Raw genomic sequence first — 16819 nt, forward strand, 5'->3', positions numbered from 1 at the left:
GGAGAAACCAAATTTGCTGACACCTTGCTCTTGAAATTCGAGCTTCCAGGATTGTGAGGAAATAAATTTTGGTTGTTTTAAGCCATCCAGTGTGTGGTATTTTATTTTGGTAGCCCTAGCAAACCAATACAAGGCTTTTATAGTAATGTGGTCACGGGACCATGGTAGTGAGGTCTGAAGTCTTCATAGTTGTTCCAGCAGTAGGCTGGGCCTTGGTAAAATCATTAGTTTCCATCTGCTTGTAGCCTAGATTTGTCTCTACAGGGATACAATTTATACCTTTTAGGTGAAGATTAAAGCATGGCATTAGAAACAGTTATCTAGTAAGTCTTTAAAATGTTTAGACATTATAGTTATACTCAATTTGAACTACTGCTAATGAAGGAGTTAATGATATTCCCCCAAAGTCAACCGAAGTTTAGAAAATTGGTAATTTTTTTAAGGTGATACTTTCACATCAGCATTAAAATGATTTAGCATAGGATGAAAATGATGAACAATTGATAGTTGTCTCAAATTTTATGAGCACACAAAAAAGAGAGTAAAAAAATCACTAATTAGCCATGTGGCTTTGGGTAAATTAGCCCATCTGGAAAATGACAGAGGATGAATTAAATCAGTCTTTGTGAAAACTAGCCCCTCAAGCCCAGCTGGAGAGTTGTATTAAAATCAACTTTAATGAGAGTTAATTTGTGTAGAATAATTATGCCATTTCAGGAATACAATTTGATGAATCTTGACCAGGGATTGGTAAACTTTTTCTGTAAAGGGCCAGATAGTAAATATTTTAGGCTTTTGGGCCACATATAGTCTCGGTTGCATATTCTTCTTTTTTATTTTTATGACCCTTTAAAATGTAAAAACTATTCTTAGCTTACTGACCATACAAAAGTGGCCACGGGCTGGATTTGGCCATGGGCAGTAGTATACTGACTCCTAGTTTTGACAAATGAGTGCAATCACTATCCCAAACAAGGTAAAAACTATTTTTATCATCCCAGGACTTTTCTTTTACCTCTTTACAGTGGCTTTTCCTCAACCCTCACCTTGGGCAACTACTGATTTTAATTTCTGCCACTTATAGGTGAGTTTAAGCTATTACGGAGCATGTCAATGGTATTATACAGGAAGCACCCTTTTGTGTGTGTCGCATCTTTTGTTCAGCATGTTTTTTGAGATTCATTCATGTTGAGGAGTGTATCAGTGATTGTTCTTTCTTAATGTTGCATTGTATTCCATTTCATCAATATTCACATTTTGTTACCCATTCATTTGAGGATGGATTTTTGGGTTTTTCCAGTTTTGGATTATTATAGATAAAACTTCAAGGCATATTTGTATGTAAGCCTTTTTTGGACATATGTTTTCATTTCTCTTGGAGTAGAATTACTGTATTATATGGTTAACTGTAGGTTTAGCTTTAGAAGAAACTCCCAAACCATTTTCCACAGTGGTTTTACTCCAGCTAGCAATGTGTGAGAGTTCAGTTGCTTCGTATTCTCAGCAACGTTTGGTATTGTCAGTCTTTTTGTTTTAGCTGTTTTAGTAGATGTGTAGTAGTATCTTGTAGTGTAATTTGCATTTTTCTGATCCATGTGCACTTGGAAAACAATGTTCTATAGTTATTGGATGTAGTGTTTATAAATATCAATAAGACTAGATTGGCCAAGATGTTGCTTAGGTGTTTTCTATCTTTGCTGATTTCCTTTTCGATTGGCTTACAGTATCTGAGAGAGGAGAGTTGAAATCTTCAGTTGTAATTGTAGATATGTTTATTTCTCCTTTCACCTCTGTCAGCATTTAATTTAGTATTTTGAAGCTCTTTTATGAGGTGCACATGCATTTATGATTGTTATTTTTTCCTGATGAATTGATCCTTTTATCTTTAAAAAATATACCTATTTATTTCTAATAATATCTCTTATCTTGATGTTTTATCTGATATGAGCATAGCCATATTGTGGTACATTTCAGTAGTTTGTTCCTTTTTATTGCCGATGGTACTATTATATAGCTATCCCATATTTTGTCCATTCACCAGTTGATGGACATTTGAATTGTTTCCAGTTTTTGACTGTATGACTAATGCTGCTGTCTTATGCTGAGTCTTATGCTTACTGCATGTAAATAGCTTTTCCTGTTTTTATTGCAGTATATCTGTTCTTAATATTTGGAGTGAGTCTCCAAATATTGCTTTTTCATCCATTCGGATAATCTTTGCCTCTTATTTGGGTATTTAGACCATTCACTTTGAATATAATTATTGGTAAAATTGGATATGGAGCTACCACTTTTGTCAGGTCTGGGATTTAATTTTATAAATCAAACTTACAAGCTAATAAATTAGCCTGTTACTATTTCATGGATCCTGACAGAAGACTAATCTGAGGCATAGAGAGGTTAAATAATTTTTCTAGGCCTTCACAACTAAGTCAGTGGCAGACATGAGGACTGAACCTTGACCATCTAACGCCAGACCTCAGGTTTTGTTTTGTTTTCTTTTTGAGATAGAGCCTTGCTCTGTTGCCCAGGCTGGAGTGCAGTGGTGCTATCACAGCTCACTGTACCCTCAGTCTCCCACCTCAGCCTTCCAAGTAACTAGGACTACAGGCATGCGCCACCATGCCTGGAAAATGTTTTTGTTTTTTGTAGAGACAAAGTCTCCCTGTGTTGCCCAGGTTGATCTCAAACTTTTGGACTCAAGTGATCCTCCCACCTCGGCCTCCCAAAGTGCTGGGATTATAGGTGGGAGTCACCATGCCTGGCCAAACCTTAGGTTTTTAACCAATATACTGTACCACCCCAAAAGATGTTTTGCAATTAGATAAATGTAATAAATTCTTCTATCATAGCATCAGTCATATTTTAATTATTTCTTACCTGTCTGTCCCCTTAGACTGTAAGCTCTTTGGTGTAGGAAATTTTTATCTTTAATTTCTGTATCTCAGTACTTTTAGCACATAAGAGTTGCCAAATAAATGTTTTTTAGGTGACTTTTTTTCTGATTGTTATAAATATTGTTATAAATATTAAATAAGAATTCTGAAGTAGAATTATGTAACTATAAATCATATATTTATAAGATTAGAGGAATGTTTATGATTTTATATTTATTTATTTAGTTGAATTTATTTGTTCAAATGCCTTTATTTTGTTTGTGTTTGGCAAATATTTAAAATAATTAATATTTTACCTGAGCAAATATTAAGTTGTTTTTGTGAGGATAGTGCTCTGTGCATTTATCACAGATACTCTGTGGAGGGGATGAACGTGCTATGAACTGAATGTGAGTGAGCTGTAGTTTTTTTCTTATTGCTGTTATATTTTTTACTTCATTTCAGTTTTTATCAAAGTTAATTATGTATATGATTTAAAGAGCCAAACATGATAAAAGGCTTTTAGTGAAAAACTGCAGTTCACTGTCCGCCAATTACCTTTACCTCAACTCTTACTGATCTTCATAGTCTTTACTTCCTTATTGCTAAAGAACATGTTTATGCTGCAACTTTTCAATTTTTCTTTAGTTTTCAGCATCATCTATTGATTTCTTTTTAAGGAAAATTAGGATTTTTGCCCTTCTCTTGCCCGCTTTAGGATGACCTGGCCCATCTACTTTGTGCAGTGGGAGGATTCTTAAACAGACTATTGAACATTTACATGACTCCAATTTCCAGAGGCATCTGGAGCCACCAATTCTTAACTTTTCAAGAATGTGTAAATAATATGAATTAGATTGCTTCTTGGCTTTTTCCACTATTGGCATAGGACACTAGTCTCTGCTTTTGTCAGCCATCTTGTCCATGTTCTTTTTAGCTTCTAGAATTTTTGCTATTTTTCTCCTGTCTTTGTTCTTGAGGCTTCTAGCTTTTTTCAGCTTTATATTAAGAAAATGATGAAACCTATAGAAAAGTTAAAATAACAGTACATGAGCATCTAGATTCCAACAGTTTTGTGTGTGTGTGTGTATGTATGTATATACATTCAAATGTTGGCAAAATGTAAGTTAATGTATGTAAATGTGTGTGTCTATGTCTATGTCTTTGTGTACGGTGGTGGTAATGAGTCATTTCAGCAAGTTGCATAAAACATGACATCCTTATCCCTAAGTATTTTAGCATGGATTTCCTAAAACTAGTGATACTTCTTGTCATACCACATTATCATTGTCACACACAAGAATATTAATAGCAATTAAAATTTCCTCAGTTATTCTCAAAACATCTTTAATATCTTATGTTTATAAAGCAGGATTCAATAAAGGTTCAGGTGATGAATTTGGTTGTCTGTTTATTCTTCTAATCTACATCATTTTTCCAACTTGTATTTTTTAATTATATGACTTTTTGAGAGGACCAGGCCAGTCAGTTGTTTTAGGATATCTCACATATTAGATTTGTCTGATTACTTTCTCAAGATATATTCATCTGTCATCTGTATTTTAGTAAAGTGGTTTTGGCCCAAAGGCTTAAATAGATTCAGATTAAACATTTTTGGCAAGAATGCTTCATAAATGATGCTGTGGACTTCATATTGCATCACTTCAGGAAGTACCTAATGTCAGGTTGTTTCACTGTCAGTGATGCCAAGTTTGTCCCACAGGTTAAGAAGGTTACCATCATCAGATCTCTCCATTGTAAAGATATGTTTCTCCCTTTGTAATGATCAAATAATCTGTGGAGTGATACTTTGCCACCATTTAAATATCCTGGTATCCCTCAATCCTTTTACTTAGTAGTATTAGCACATACAAATTGTTCTTGTCTGAATCAGTTACTTTATTATGTTTGGCAAAATAATATTTTTCTAATTTTATTATTTCTTTTCTACACATTAATTACCGGTATTCTCCTGTAAAGGAAAGCTTTCTCCATTAATTAGGAATTAACCACAATTTTGACTTTAAAAAAGCAAGGTGAATGCTCGATTCTTTTTCTTTAATGACTAATTTTTGGAGTAAGAAGTTAGCATAATGGTCATCTACAATGGTGGCAAAGTTTCTTACACCCTTCGCTTGCTTGCCCGCTTGCTTGCCCGCTTGCTTGCTTTCTCTCTTTCTCTCTTTCTTTCTTTCTGAATATTGCTATGGACTTGAGGATTATTGAAGTATATTTGACATAAAACGTACCCTTGTAAGTTAGAATGATTTTTAGTGAATTTTAAAAGTTGTGCTATTACCACAATCTAGTTGTAGAACATTTCCATCACCTCAGAAAGTTATTTGTCTATAGTCAGTCCCTGCTTCCATCTCCAGTCCCTGGCAACTACTGATCTGCTTTCTCTTTCTATAGATTTGCCTTAACTGGGTATTTCATATAAATGGAGCCATTCAATATAAAGTCTTTGGTGTCTGGCTTCTTTCACTTAACATAATGTTTTTGAAGTTCATCCATATTGTAGCACATTTCAGTAGTTTGTTCCTTTTTATTGCTGAATGGTACTATTATACAGCTATCCTGTTATTTTGTCCATTCACCAGCTGATGGACATTTAATTGTTCCCAGTTTATGGCTATACAAATTTGCTGCTGTGAACATTCACATACAAGTCTTTGCACCTAAGTTTTCATTTTTCTTGGATAGATACCTAGGAATGGAATTGTGAGGTCTTATGCTAAGTATATGTTTAACTTTTTAAGAAACCGCCATCTGTTTTAGAACAATCGCTGTGCTTTTCCAAAAGCAGTGTTTGAGGATTCTGGTTTCTCCACATCCTTACCAACACTTGATATTGTTAATCATTTTTATCATAGCCATTCTAGTGGGTGTGTTGTGGTATTTCATGTTTTAATTTGCAGTTCTCTAATAACTAATGATGCTGAGAATTTTTTAATGTGCTTATTTGACATCTATATCTTCAGATAGACATTTGGTGTCTATTAGAATCTTTTGCTCATGTTTTAATTGGGTTGTTTTAAATTTTGTTGAGTTATAATAATTTTTTTTTTTGAGACGGAGTCTTGCTGTGTCACCAGGCTAGAGTGCAGTGGCGCAATCTGGGCTCACTACAACCTCTGACTCCCTGGTTCAAGTGATTCTCCTGCCTCAGCCTCCTGAGTAGCCGGGACTACAGGCACACGCCACCGCGCCCAGCTAATTTTTGTATTTTTAGTAGAGACAAGATTTCACCATGTTGGCCAGGATGGTCTTGATTTTCTGACCTCGTGATCCACCCGCCTCAGCCTCCCAAAGTGCTGGGATTACAAGCATGAGCCACTGTGCCTGGCTGAGTTGTAATAATTCTTTATATATTCTGTATACAAGTCCTGTATCAGATTATGATTTGCAATATAGTCTGTAGCATGTCTTTTTATTTTCTTAATGGTGTCATTGGAAGAGCAAAAGTTTTTAACTTTGATGAAGTCCAACTTATCACACTATTTTTAATTGACTATAAGTTTTGTGTCATATCTAAGAAATACGTGCCTAATCCAGAGTCGCAAATTTTTTTTCCCATTTTTTAAAAGTTTGAGTTCATATTTAGGTCTGTGATCTGTTTTTAGTTAATTTTCATGTGTGGTGTGAAGTAAGTGTTTAAATTCATTTTTTTCATAGAACTCCTGGATTTTTGTTTATTCAATATTTTCAATTGTAGTCAATATTTGTAACAATGCTCAAATATTCCAATTAGGCTGGCGTCTCTATTCTTTGGACATATTCGCATTTGTCTTTAGATACATCTGTGCTTTTCGGCTGTTCAGTGTTTCCCCCAACATATGCCTGAAATCAGCTGTTTCTCCATTCTTCCGTGAGGCTCTCATTCCTTTCAGTAAAGAGACCACTATGGGTGCTCATTGCTACTGGGGTAACAATCAACTCTAAACTTTCTTAGTGGACAGGGCTATGGAATACAGCTTTTAAAAATCATGAGTTTATATTGATATTTTTCATTCAGAAAAATATTGCAATAAAACATTGCAAGTTTTATTTCTTTTATATTTGTTTTTCTGGTTTGTTACTTTAAAAAATTCCTTTATTGTCATTTCAGTGATGTTTAAATGAAATTTTTCTTTTTACCATCATTAAAGAATGTCTATACCCTTTCTTTTCTACGCATTTTATTTTTGTCGACTGTCCAAGGGTGTGACCATTTAACTAAGTGGGTAAGAATCCAATGGAGTCATCAAAGAGTAAAAAGGAAAAAATAATTCCAAAACTTTGATAGAGAAAGCTACTGTCTAAAATTGTAAGGACTAAGAAAGGAAGTTTTCTCAACCTCACCCTTCTTTTTTCTTACTTTATAGTTTGGAATGGTCAGCTGTCATTGTGGATGAAGCTCATAGAATCAAGAATCCAAAAGCTAGAGTAACAGAAGTTATGAAAGCTTTGAAATGTAATGTCCGCATTGGCCTCACTGGAACCATCCTTCAGAACAACATGAAGGAACTGTGGTGTGTTATGGACTGGTGAGAGAAAACACTTTTTAAAAAATTGTTTAATAGTTCTTCAGCTGAATACGGTCTTGTTTGCTAATCATTAGTTTCCAAACAAACGAAACAGTCATTTGTCTGGTTTTAGATGTGTTTGATCCCAGATGTGGTATACACAGTAGAGAGTCCCATGAAAACCTATCTTTATATATATTACTCTTGGTCCCTGAAGTAAATATACATGTTCACTGCCAGTTTCATCCTCATATCATAGTTAGAACCTGAAACTGTCGTAAAGAAAGAACATTCTGTTTTCTTGGCTTTTGTTTTTGTTACCGTTGATAATCAAGTAATGTAGTATATCTCTTAGAAGCAAGAAGTTAGTGTTTTTAGATAATAAAGCCCTTACATTTTTCTTATTGTCTTTATAAAGGGCTGTGCCAGGCCTTTTAGGGAGTGGGACCTACTTCAAGAAGCAGTTTTCTGACCCAGTAGAACATGGTCAGAGACACACGGCAACAAAGAGAGAACTAGCCACTGGCCGAAAGGCCATGCAAAGACTTGCCAAAAAGATGTCTGGCTGGTTTCTCAGGCGCACCAAGACTCTTATCAAGGATCAGTTGCCTAAGAAGGAAGACCGGGTAAGAACCGCATTTGTATATATTATTAATTTGTGGTCATATTTTTTTTTTCCTTTTTAAGAAAAAGTCTGTCTCCTGTGGCATTTTGTAAATACAGTTTTTTGCCTTTTATTCTGTATGGAAAAAATTGTTGCGCGCAGAATTTCAGAAACCATTGATTGAGCTCAGTTGTTTTCCTTACTGACTTTATTAACCTGTTAGCTAACAGGTTTATTATTAGTATACATTAAACTCATTTCTCATCAAAACCTTTTTTTTTTTTTTTTGAGACAGAGTCGGGCTCTGTCACCCAGGCTGGAGTGCAGTGGCGCGATCTTGGCTCACTGCAACCTCCGCCTCCCAAGTTCAAGCGATTCTGCAGCCTCAGCCTCCCGAGTAACTGGGATTACATATGTGCACCACCACGCCTGGCTAATTTTTTTGTATTTTTAGTAGAGACAGGGTTTCGCCATGTTGTCTAGGCTGGTTTCGAACTCCTGACCTCAGGTGATCCACCTGCCTCGGTCTCCCAAAGTACTGGAATTACAGGCGTGAGCCACCGTGCCTGGCCTCATCAAAACTTTTGATGCAGTTTTTCCCCAGTAAAGAAGGAAGAGCTTCTCTCTGCAGTGTGTTTTCTGTTCACACGTTGTCCTTCCTATACTGTGTACTATCCACCACACAGTGTATTCTTTGGTACCTTAATTCTAGCTGTAGGATCAAAGTGGTTAAGAGCTTTTTAAAAAATATATAGGTTTGTTTCTTGTAGAATGCTATTTGCAGTTACACAACTAACCTAACTTTTAGAATTTGTAGGAAAACTACATTGTTAAATTGTTCAAGAAAATATGAGGAGTGGACTTCAAGAGGATTTTAAAAAAATATAGTAGTCTTCTTTTATAGTTCTTCATCTTGTGTTTCTTCTAGCTTGGGCAATGGAATAAAGGTTCTGTAGATTACTATGGAACTAAACCTAATTAATGTTGTCCCAAATAAGGGCAATCCTATGAAATGCCCTCTAATTTTAGTGTATCCTCTTGATTGTTTCTTTAAAAAGATAGATTTGAAAGGAAAATACGATATTGATATGCAAGTTGGGGAAATAGATACATCTGACTTTTGATATTTATCTAAAGCAAATATTGTTACTAAATTGAGATACTTCATGAACTCTCACTTTTAAAAATGTTTTATGCAACTTCATATATGTGATTTAGCTATCTGTCTAGTAGGAACAGTACAAAAGTATAAGAAAAGAATTGTTCATAGAGGTTTAGAGCTTGGCCTCTGAAATCAAATACTATTTGATTAGAGTATTTGTGACTTGCAGCACCTCTGCTTAGAGTTTTGTGACTTGGAGCAATTTGTGAGGCCCTGGAACCTGGGTTTCTTCCTCTGTTAAATGGTAGTGATGATAATAGTGCCTGCCTCACATGGTTACTCTGAAATGCATGACACATAAGAAATATTGAGTAATTGGTACTATGTTTAATAATAATAAATAACTGAAGATACCTTTGTACTTCAATCATTGACCACCAACTTCTATATTCTCTTTTTTTCTTATATGTACTTTTATATTTAAGGTTGGGGTCAGGCTGTACTAAATATTTTATATAAACATTTTTTAAAAATCTAGCATCAGGAGGGGGCAGGCTGGATGTGTGCTGCCATGCATCCTTCTTCAGTCTGGTTTGGGTCTTTAAAAAATAAAAGATAAAAATAGCTTCCAAAAGAGTTGTGGTCATCCTGGCTAAAGGAGCAGAGGAAATGGAGGCAGTCAGCCCTGTAGACATGATGAGACAAGCTGAGATTAAGGTCACCATTGCAGGTCTGGCTGGAAAAGACCCACTACAGTGTAGCTGTGATGTTGTTATTTGTCCTGATGTCAGTCTTGAAGATGCAAAAAAGAGGGACCAAATGACACGATGTTTCTAACAGGAGGTAATCTGGGTGCACAGATTTTATTTGAGTCCGCTGCCTTGAGAGAGATACTGAAGGAACAAGAAAACGAGAAGGGCCTCATAGCTACCATTTATTCAGGTCCTGCAGGTCTGTTGGCTCATGAAATAGGTTTTGGAAGTAAAGTTACAACATACCTACTTGCTAAAGACAAAATGATGAATGGAAGTCATTACAGCTACTCTGAGAATTGTGTGGAAAAGGACGGCCTGATTTTTACAAGTCGGGGGGCCTAGGACTGGCTTCATGTCTACTCTTGGGATTGTTGAGGCCTAAGAGCCAAAGAGGTGGTGGCTGAAGTGAAGGCTCGACTTGTTCTTAAAGACTAGAGCAGAAAAATGTGACCATCAGTTAGAGAAATAAGCCATTTGGAATCCATTCTCATTGTGTTTTTTAAAAACAGAAAAATGGTAGGTTAATATGCTCAGAAGCCATCATCAGTCCTGCTGTTGTGAAGTAACAACTACACAGAGATTTCTCAACCTACAAATTGTGTCTGTTTTTTTTTTTAAGACGGAGTCTCACTCTGTCACCCAGGCTGGAGTGCAGTGGCGTGATCTTGGCTCACTGCAAGCTCCGCCTCCCTGGGTTCAAGCGATTATTCTGCCTCAGTCTCCCAAGTAGCTGGGACTACAGGCGCACGCCACCATGCCCGGTTAATTTTTGTATTTGTAGTAGAGACAGGGTTTCACCATCTTGGCCAGGCTGGTCTTGAACTCCTGACCTCGTGATCTGCCTGCCTCCCAAAGTGCTTGGATTACAGGCGTGAGCCACCACGCCCGGCCTGTGTCTACATTTCTGAGCCTGTTTACAGAATAAACATGGCATTTAGGGAAAAAAAAAATTAGCATTGTTTTATAGAGACATTACTGTATTTGCTTGTATGCACCTTTGCCTGTTTATTGCCAATAATCTGATGTAGTGATATAAGCATACAAATATTTACAAATATTTATATGTTTCTATTTTACAAATAAAAAAATGTCACTGCTTTGTCCCTGAAGTCAGGAAGTGCCTTGCCAGTAAAGGACTACCTTTTAAAGTTATTTTGATGTTGGATAATCCTTGTGGCCACCCAGAACCCCATGAGTTCAACATCAAAGGCGTCAAAGTGGTCCACTTGCCCCCAAACACAACATGTCTAATTCAGCTTCTAGATCAGAGGGTCATAAGGACCTTTAAGGCTCATTACACCTGGTTCTCTATGGAAAGGATTGTCAATGCTGTGGAGAAGAACCCTGATAGAATATCATGAATGTCTGGAAGGATTACACCATTTGAAGATACCGTCGTTGTTATAGAAAAAGCCATGAAAGCCATCATTCCTGGAATAGTAAATTCCTGCTGGAGAAAACTGTGTCCAGATGTGCATGACTTCACAGGATTTACAACAGAGCCAATCAAATAAATCATGAGAGGCAAAAAAGGTGAAGGGTTTCAAGAGACGGATCTTGGAGAAATTCAAGAGCTAATTTAAAGAAATTCAGGACACCACACCAGAGGAATTAATCGAAGATGACTTGATGCAGATAAGTGCTTTCAAACCAGTGCCAGACGATGAGGAACAAGACGCAGAAAAAGCAGTGCCAGAAAACAAATTGACATTAAATAATGTGGCAGAGGGATTCTGATTATTTGAGACTGCTTTTGACTTCTTTTATGACATGGACCCTTCTATGATATGGGCACTGAAACTAAAGCAAATGGTGGAAGAAGGACTGGCACCATATAGAAACATTTTTTTAGAGAAATGAAAAGCAGAAATGTCAGACAGAAATTACGACATGTTTCTGTAAAGTTACACCAAGTGTGCCTGCCTCTCCTGCCTCCCTTGACTTCCTTTTCACTTCCTTCACCTCTTCATTTCTGCCACCCATGAGAAAACAAGACCAGCCTCTCCTCTTCCTTATTCTCCTCAGCCTACTCAATATGAAGCCCTTTATGATGACCTACTTCCACTTAATGAACAGTAAAGATATTTTCACTTTTTTGTGATTTTCTTAATAACATTTTCTTTTTTTCTAGTTTTATCGTAAGAATATAATATATAATAGATACACAAAGTAGTGTTTCTCAACTATTTATACTGTTGTTAAGGCTTCCAGTCAACAGTAGGCTATTAGTAGTTATGTTTTTGGGAAGTCAGAAGTTATACATGGACTTTTGACTGTGTGGGGAGTTAGCACCCTAGCGCCATCCATGTTCAAGAGTCAACTGTGTAAGGAACATCATTTGTTTGTTCATATTATGATTTCTTTTAATTAAAAAAATTCTATGAGGTTTATTTGAAAGTGAAATTATACTTTATATTATCCAGGGTGGGGTGGAGAGCAAAGAATATAAGACAGTCAGTAGAAATCATCATAATGATGTAAATAGAGGGAAAAATTAGTTTATAGCAATTTTCACTATTTTTTTTGAGACAGAGTCTCGCTCTGTCGCCCAGGCTGTAGTGCAGTGGCGTGATCTCAGCTCACTGCAACCTCTGACTCCTTGGTTCAAGCGATTCTCCTGCCTCAGCCTCCTGAGTAGCTGGGACTACAGGCGCGTGGCACCACGCCCAGCTAATTTTTGTATTTTTAGTAGAGATGAGGTTTCACCATGTTGGCCAGGATGGTCTTTATCTCTTGACCTTGTGATCCGCCCTCCTTGGCTTCCCAAAGTATTGGGATTACAGGCGTGAGCCTCTGCGCCCGGCCAGTTTTCACTGTTATAATCTATGAAATCAGATGTAGATTATGATTTTTATTATTGTTATAAACAAAATACTAATAACTACCTTGTATTTTATCTTGGCAGATGGTGTATTGTTCTTTGACAGATTTCCAGAAAGCTGTCTATCAAACAGTGTTAGAAACAGAGGACGTGACTTTGATACTTCAATCTTCTGAGCCTTGTACCTGTAGGAGTGGCCAAAAAAGGAGAAATTGTTGTTATAAGGCAAGCATTTCAATATATCTTTATAATCATGCTTTTGATTACATAGTACTCTCTTCTAGTGTAAAAGAAAGTAGCAGATGATAAAATACCTTTTCCTCAGACAGTTCTTTAAAGCTATGTCTTAAAAAATAGTTTTCAAAAATATTTTACAATATCAAATAGTAATCACATATAAAATACAATATTCAAATATATTTTCAAAAAGTTAATTGCAGAAAGTAAGCTTAATTTTGATATCCTCCATTTTAGCTTTTCTTGGGAAGTATCCTTTCATTTTGAAATTTCATTTCATTTTCAAGAAGTTTCTCATTATCCACTAATAGTAAACGAACATACTCTTGTATAGGAGGCTTAAAATACTATTCTGATGTTAGATATAGTGTCAATTTAATAGAAACTGAGTATCAAAGAAAGTGTTTTTTTTAAAGAAACAAAATTTATTTGTACTTTTTCTAACCTTTTGTTTATATTTCCTGCTCATGTTTCACCTCTGTTTTATTAAATTATGTCACATATCTGTGTACGTAGAGAAACCCTAAGTGAATATTTATCTAGTTTGATATTTATTTGGTCTCATTTATTTTGCTGTTTTTAACTACTTCCCTTTTTTGTAATAGCCCAGTTTCCTAGGAGCCTTGGAGCATAAATGAGAAGGGGTCTGCATAGCACTGCCACTGCACTTAGATTTTGTTACCAGGCACCTCGTAACAGCAACATTTCCATCACTGTGTGTCATGAGGATAAATACTTTCTGTAATAAGGATTTTCTCCCTTTATGAAAAATATAGTTGTATTATGATTTACCAAAAGTATGCTTCCACATTAGCTATTTGTGGATATTTTGTGCAATAGTTGACCATCATTTTCTTGGAATTTATTGTGCCAAAGTAACCCGATAATAAATGTTATTGTAAGTGATACATTTTATGATGTAAGCAGGTGCATAGCTATGCTGGTCCTTTTTATTTTCTATATTTTTCTGGTTACAGACCAATTCTCATGGTGAAACAGTGAAAACCTTGTATCTCAGTTACCTTACAGTCCTTCAGAAGGTAGCTAACCATGTCGCGCTACTGCAAGCTGCTAGTACTTCCAAACAACAGGTTTGGTTAGCATTTTACATTTCTTTGTGATGCTATTGTTGTGAATATTTTATAAAGTTTTAAAATAGTTATTAAATAAAGTTTTTGTGGATGAAATTTAAGAGGAAACTGATTTGCTTATTTTTAAATGTAGATATCAAGGAGTATGTGCACTTAAGTTTTTAATCAAAGTGAACAAATTTAAGCTTAATTTAAAATAAGAACTATCTTTTATGCCTTTAATAATGTTCATATCTTTATTTTTCAAAACAGTCTTTGGTATAATTACTAAATAACATATTTGATGGGTCAGTTCTATTCCTCTAATAATGTCTGTAATGGTATTTAATCTACTGGGTAAAATGAGGATTTATAATAATTTGTATATTAAATATTAGGGCTGTTTACCAAACTGGCAAAAATCAGTAATTTCAAAGTTTACTTTGGTTGTTTCCTTTTATTCTAGAGCACACATAAATGAAAAGATGTTTTTGTAATGATTTTATATTTTTTTCTGTTATAGTTGATGCCATTTAAATGTAATTTTGAAATCTCATAAGAATTTGATATTGTTCTTTGATAGTACTCTTTACTCTTTGGGAGTATTTAGCACCTTGTTTTGGAAATCTTAAAAAATTGAAAAGTAATGATCAAGTTAATAACCACATCATTAAGAATTCAGTGCCATACGTTTAACATATAACTTTAAGAGTTTTTGAATTCTTAGTCTGACTTAGGGAAGCAAAAATCTTTAAAGTAATACATTCTTTCTAAAAAGAATTTTTTTCATAAATTATTTCAATTTATACAGGTTTGAATGTGTTAAGTGGAAATATCTTTTCTTCTGCCTTTTCCCTTCAAGGAAACACTTATCAAAAGGATATGTGATCAGGTATTTTCCAGATTCCCAGATTTTGTGCAGAAAAGCAAAGATGCAGCCTTTGAAACACTTTCTGACCCTAAATACAGTGGAAAAATGAAGGTAAGTGCTCCTCTTTCAGGTTGCATACAGACATGATACACAAAATATTTATTCAGTGGTATGACAGAGACACCAACTAATCAGAACAGGTGCTCAGTCATTCAGAAGAGATGGTGGCTATGGACAAGTGGTGCAATTGTATCAGCATTTACTAGGTCACTATGAACCCCGAATACAGATGGTGTGCACTCGATAGGTCCTCTGTAGTAGTTGCTTCAAATATACTTCAAATTTTCCTTATTGATATATTGGACTTATGCCCTCTTAAAATGCGTGTGCTGTTACCACATAGATAATAGCTTGTCTTCAGATGTTTAAGGAAATAACCTACCAGAAATATAAAAGCTAATGCAAAACAGGGGGGTAAGGAAAGGCCTTACCTTGGAATTAGAGAAAGGAATTTCTTGAAGAGTTTAAGATGGGCAAGGTCTGTATGTCTAGAATTTTCTGCATGTTGTTTTTACTTGCAGAACTAGATCGTAAAGTTGCAAATAGTCATTTGTCATACACAGGAAAATTGACCTGTAGCTGTGCTGCTCTTGGTAATGTGTTACCGAGGGAAGGGTGGGAAAAGTAAGGCTAAGTTCTCCAACCTTGACCCAGGCCTTGGGCATTGCCTGTGGCAGCAGCATGAAATGCTGACAGCTTCCTGCCTCCTTGCAACAACAGAGTTTGTTTAACCCCTTAGTGTCTATCAAGAATCTTTATTTGTAGATTCACAGATTTTTACAGAACAAAACTCAACTTTGTTATAGTTTTTAAAAGGTAAGTTCTTTTTGACATAAAAAGAATAAAAAGGAAGTAGTTCAAAGCAGTTTTTGTTTTTTTTTTATAGAAATACTTTTAGCAATTGATCTAGATAAGTTCATCATGGTTTAGTTTGCTTGGGACCTCTAAAATCAATGAAATAAAATAGAAGGTAGGAATATACATACATACATAAAGACTATTGCATTAAAAACTTGCTTTTAAAAAATAAATGTTTATATTAATGAGGATATCATGTGATTTATTACCACAACAAATAATTCAAATCTAATGATATTTCCTAAGGTAGCAAATTTTTGTCATCCATTTCATTGACTTTAATTATTTTTAAATTAAAATATATAAAAAGTCCGGTTTAGAACTGAGCACTTACTATCCCACAGTTTAAACCAGTAGAACATTTCCAGAAATTATAGCCTCCTCTGAAAACTGCATTAGTCATTGCTACTCATTTAAATTTTATTCCCTGTGACTCTTCACTAAAAAATTGCCAGTCTTGAAATTAAGTTTTATAACTCTGCATTTTATATTTTTTATATATTCATTAATATATACTTGTAAAATATACTTTTAAAGTTAATCTCCCTAGGAATAATAGTGTCTGATTAAGAGAATGATTAAATTTAATTTTATTTTAATTTTTAGGAGGGAAAAGGTAAGCATAAATTGTTGCTGGAGGCTGGGTAGTATTTTTATATGTGAATGATGCAGGTAATTTACTTGGTTTGTGAGAGAGCACCAGCCAAACAGATGGATAGTAATAAGCTAGGGATATATTTTTAGGACTATGTTAAATCATTTGACTAACAGCATCATCTGGTCATATATTGATTTGGTAATGCAGACTTACAGGCTTATCATAGAATCATTGCCTATGGGTTTAAGAACTCTAAGAATTGAGTTGCATTTACCTTTTGAATTCAGGTGATAAAAGATCTTTGTTTAGCTTGTCTTGTCACAGGTCAGCCTGCAGGTGCAAGGACTCTGAACAGAATGCCTGCTATAATCTTTATAGCCTCAAAGCTACACTTATGACCCCACCTCTTTCTCTTGAGTGTCAGAGTTTTGACCTCAACTATCATTCAAGGGGTTAGTCACA

The 16819-nt window shown here is 35.2% G+C and overlaps 1 protein-coding gene and 1 pseudogene across 15 annotated transcripts in view; both read left to right on the forward strand.

The window, feature by feature from the left end:
• The window catches only part of ERCC6L2 (ERCC excision repair 6 like 2), a 165402-nt gene that overhangs the window by 32737 nt on the left and 115846 nt on the right, over positions 1 to 16819 (forward strand). For all 15 annotated transcript variants that reach the window (NR_164677.1, NM_001375291.1, XM_047423357.1 and 12 more), the window contains 5 exons: positions 7241 to 7402; positions 7800 to 8007; positions 12748 to 12888; positions 13878 to 13991; positions 14833 to 14952. Coding sequence is in view for 14 of the 15 variants with exons in the window: in NM_001375291.1 (NP_001362220.1) it covers positions 7241 to 7402; positions 7800 to 8007; positions 12748 to 12888; positions 13878 to 13991; positions 14833 to 14952 (745 nt within the window). In the remaining variant the exon portion in view is untranslated. The remainder of the gene's footprint in view (positions 1 to 7240; positions 7403 to 7799; positions 8008 to 12747; positions 12889 to 13877; positions 13992 to 14832; positions 14953 to 16819) is intronic.
• Positions 9648 to 10446, forward strand: PARK7P2 (PARK7 pseudogene 2; annotated as a pseudogene).

The sequence above is a fragment of the Homo sapiens genome, chromosome 9, assembly GCF_000001405.40.
Source record: "Homo sapiens chromosome 9, GRCh38.p14 Primary Assembly".
NCBI lineage: Eukaryota > Metazoa > Chordata > Mammalia > Primates > Hominidae > Homo > Homo sapiens.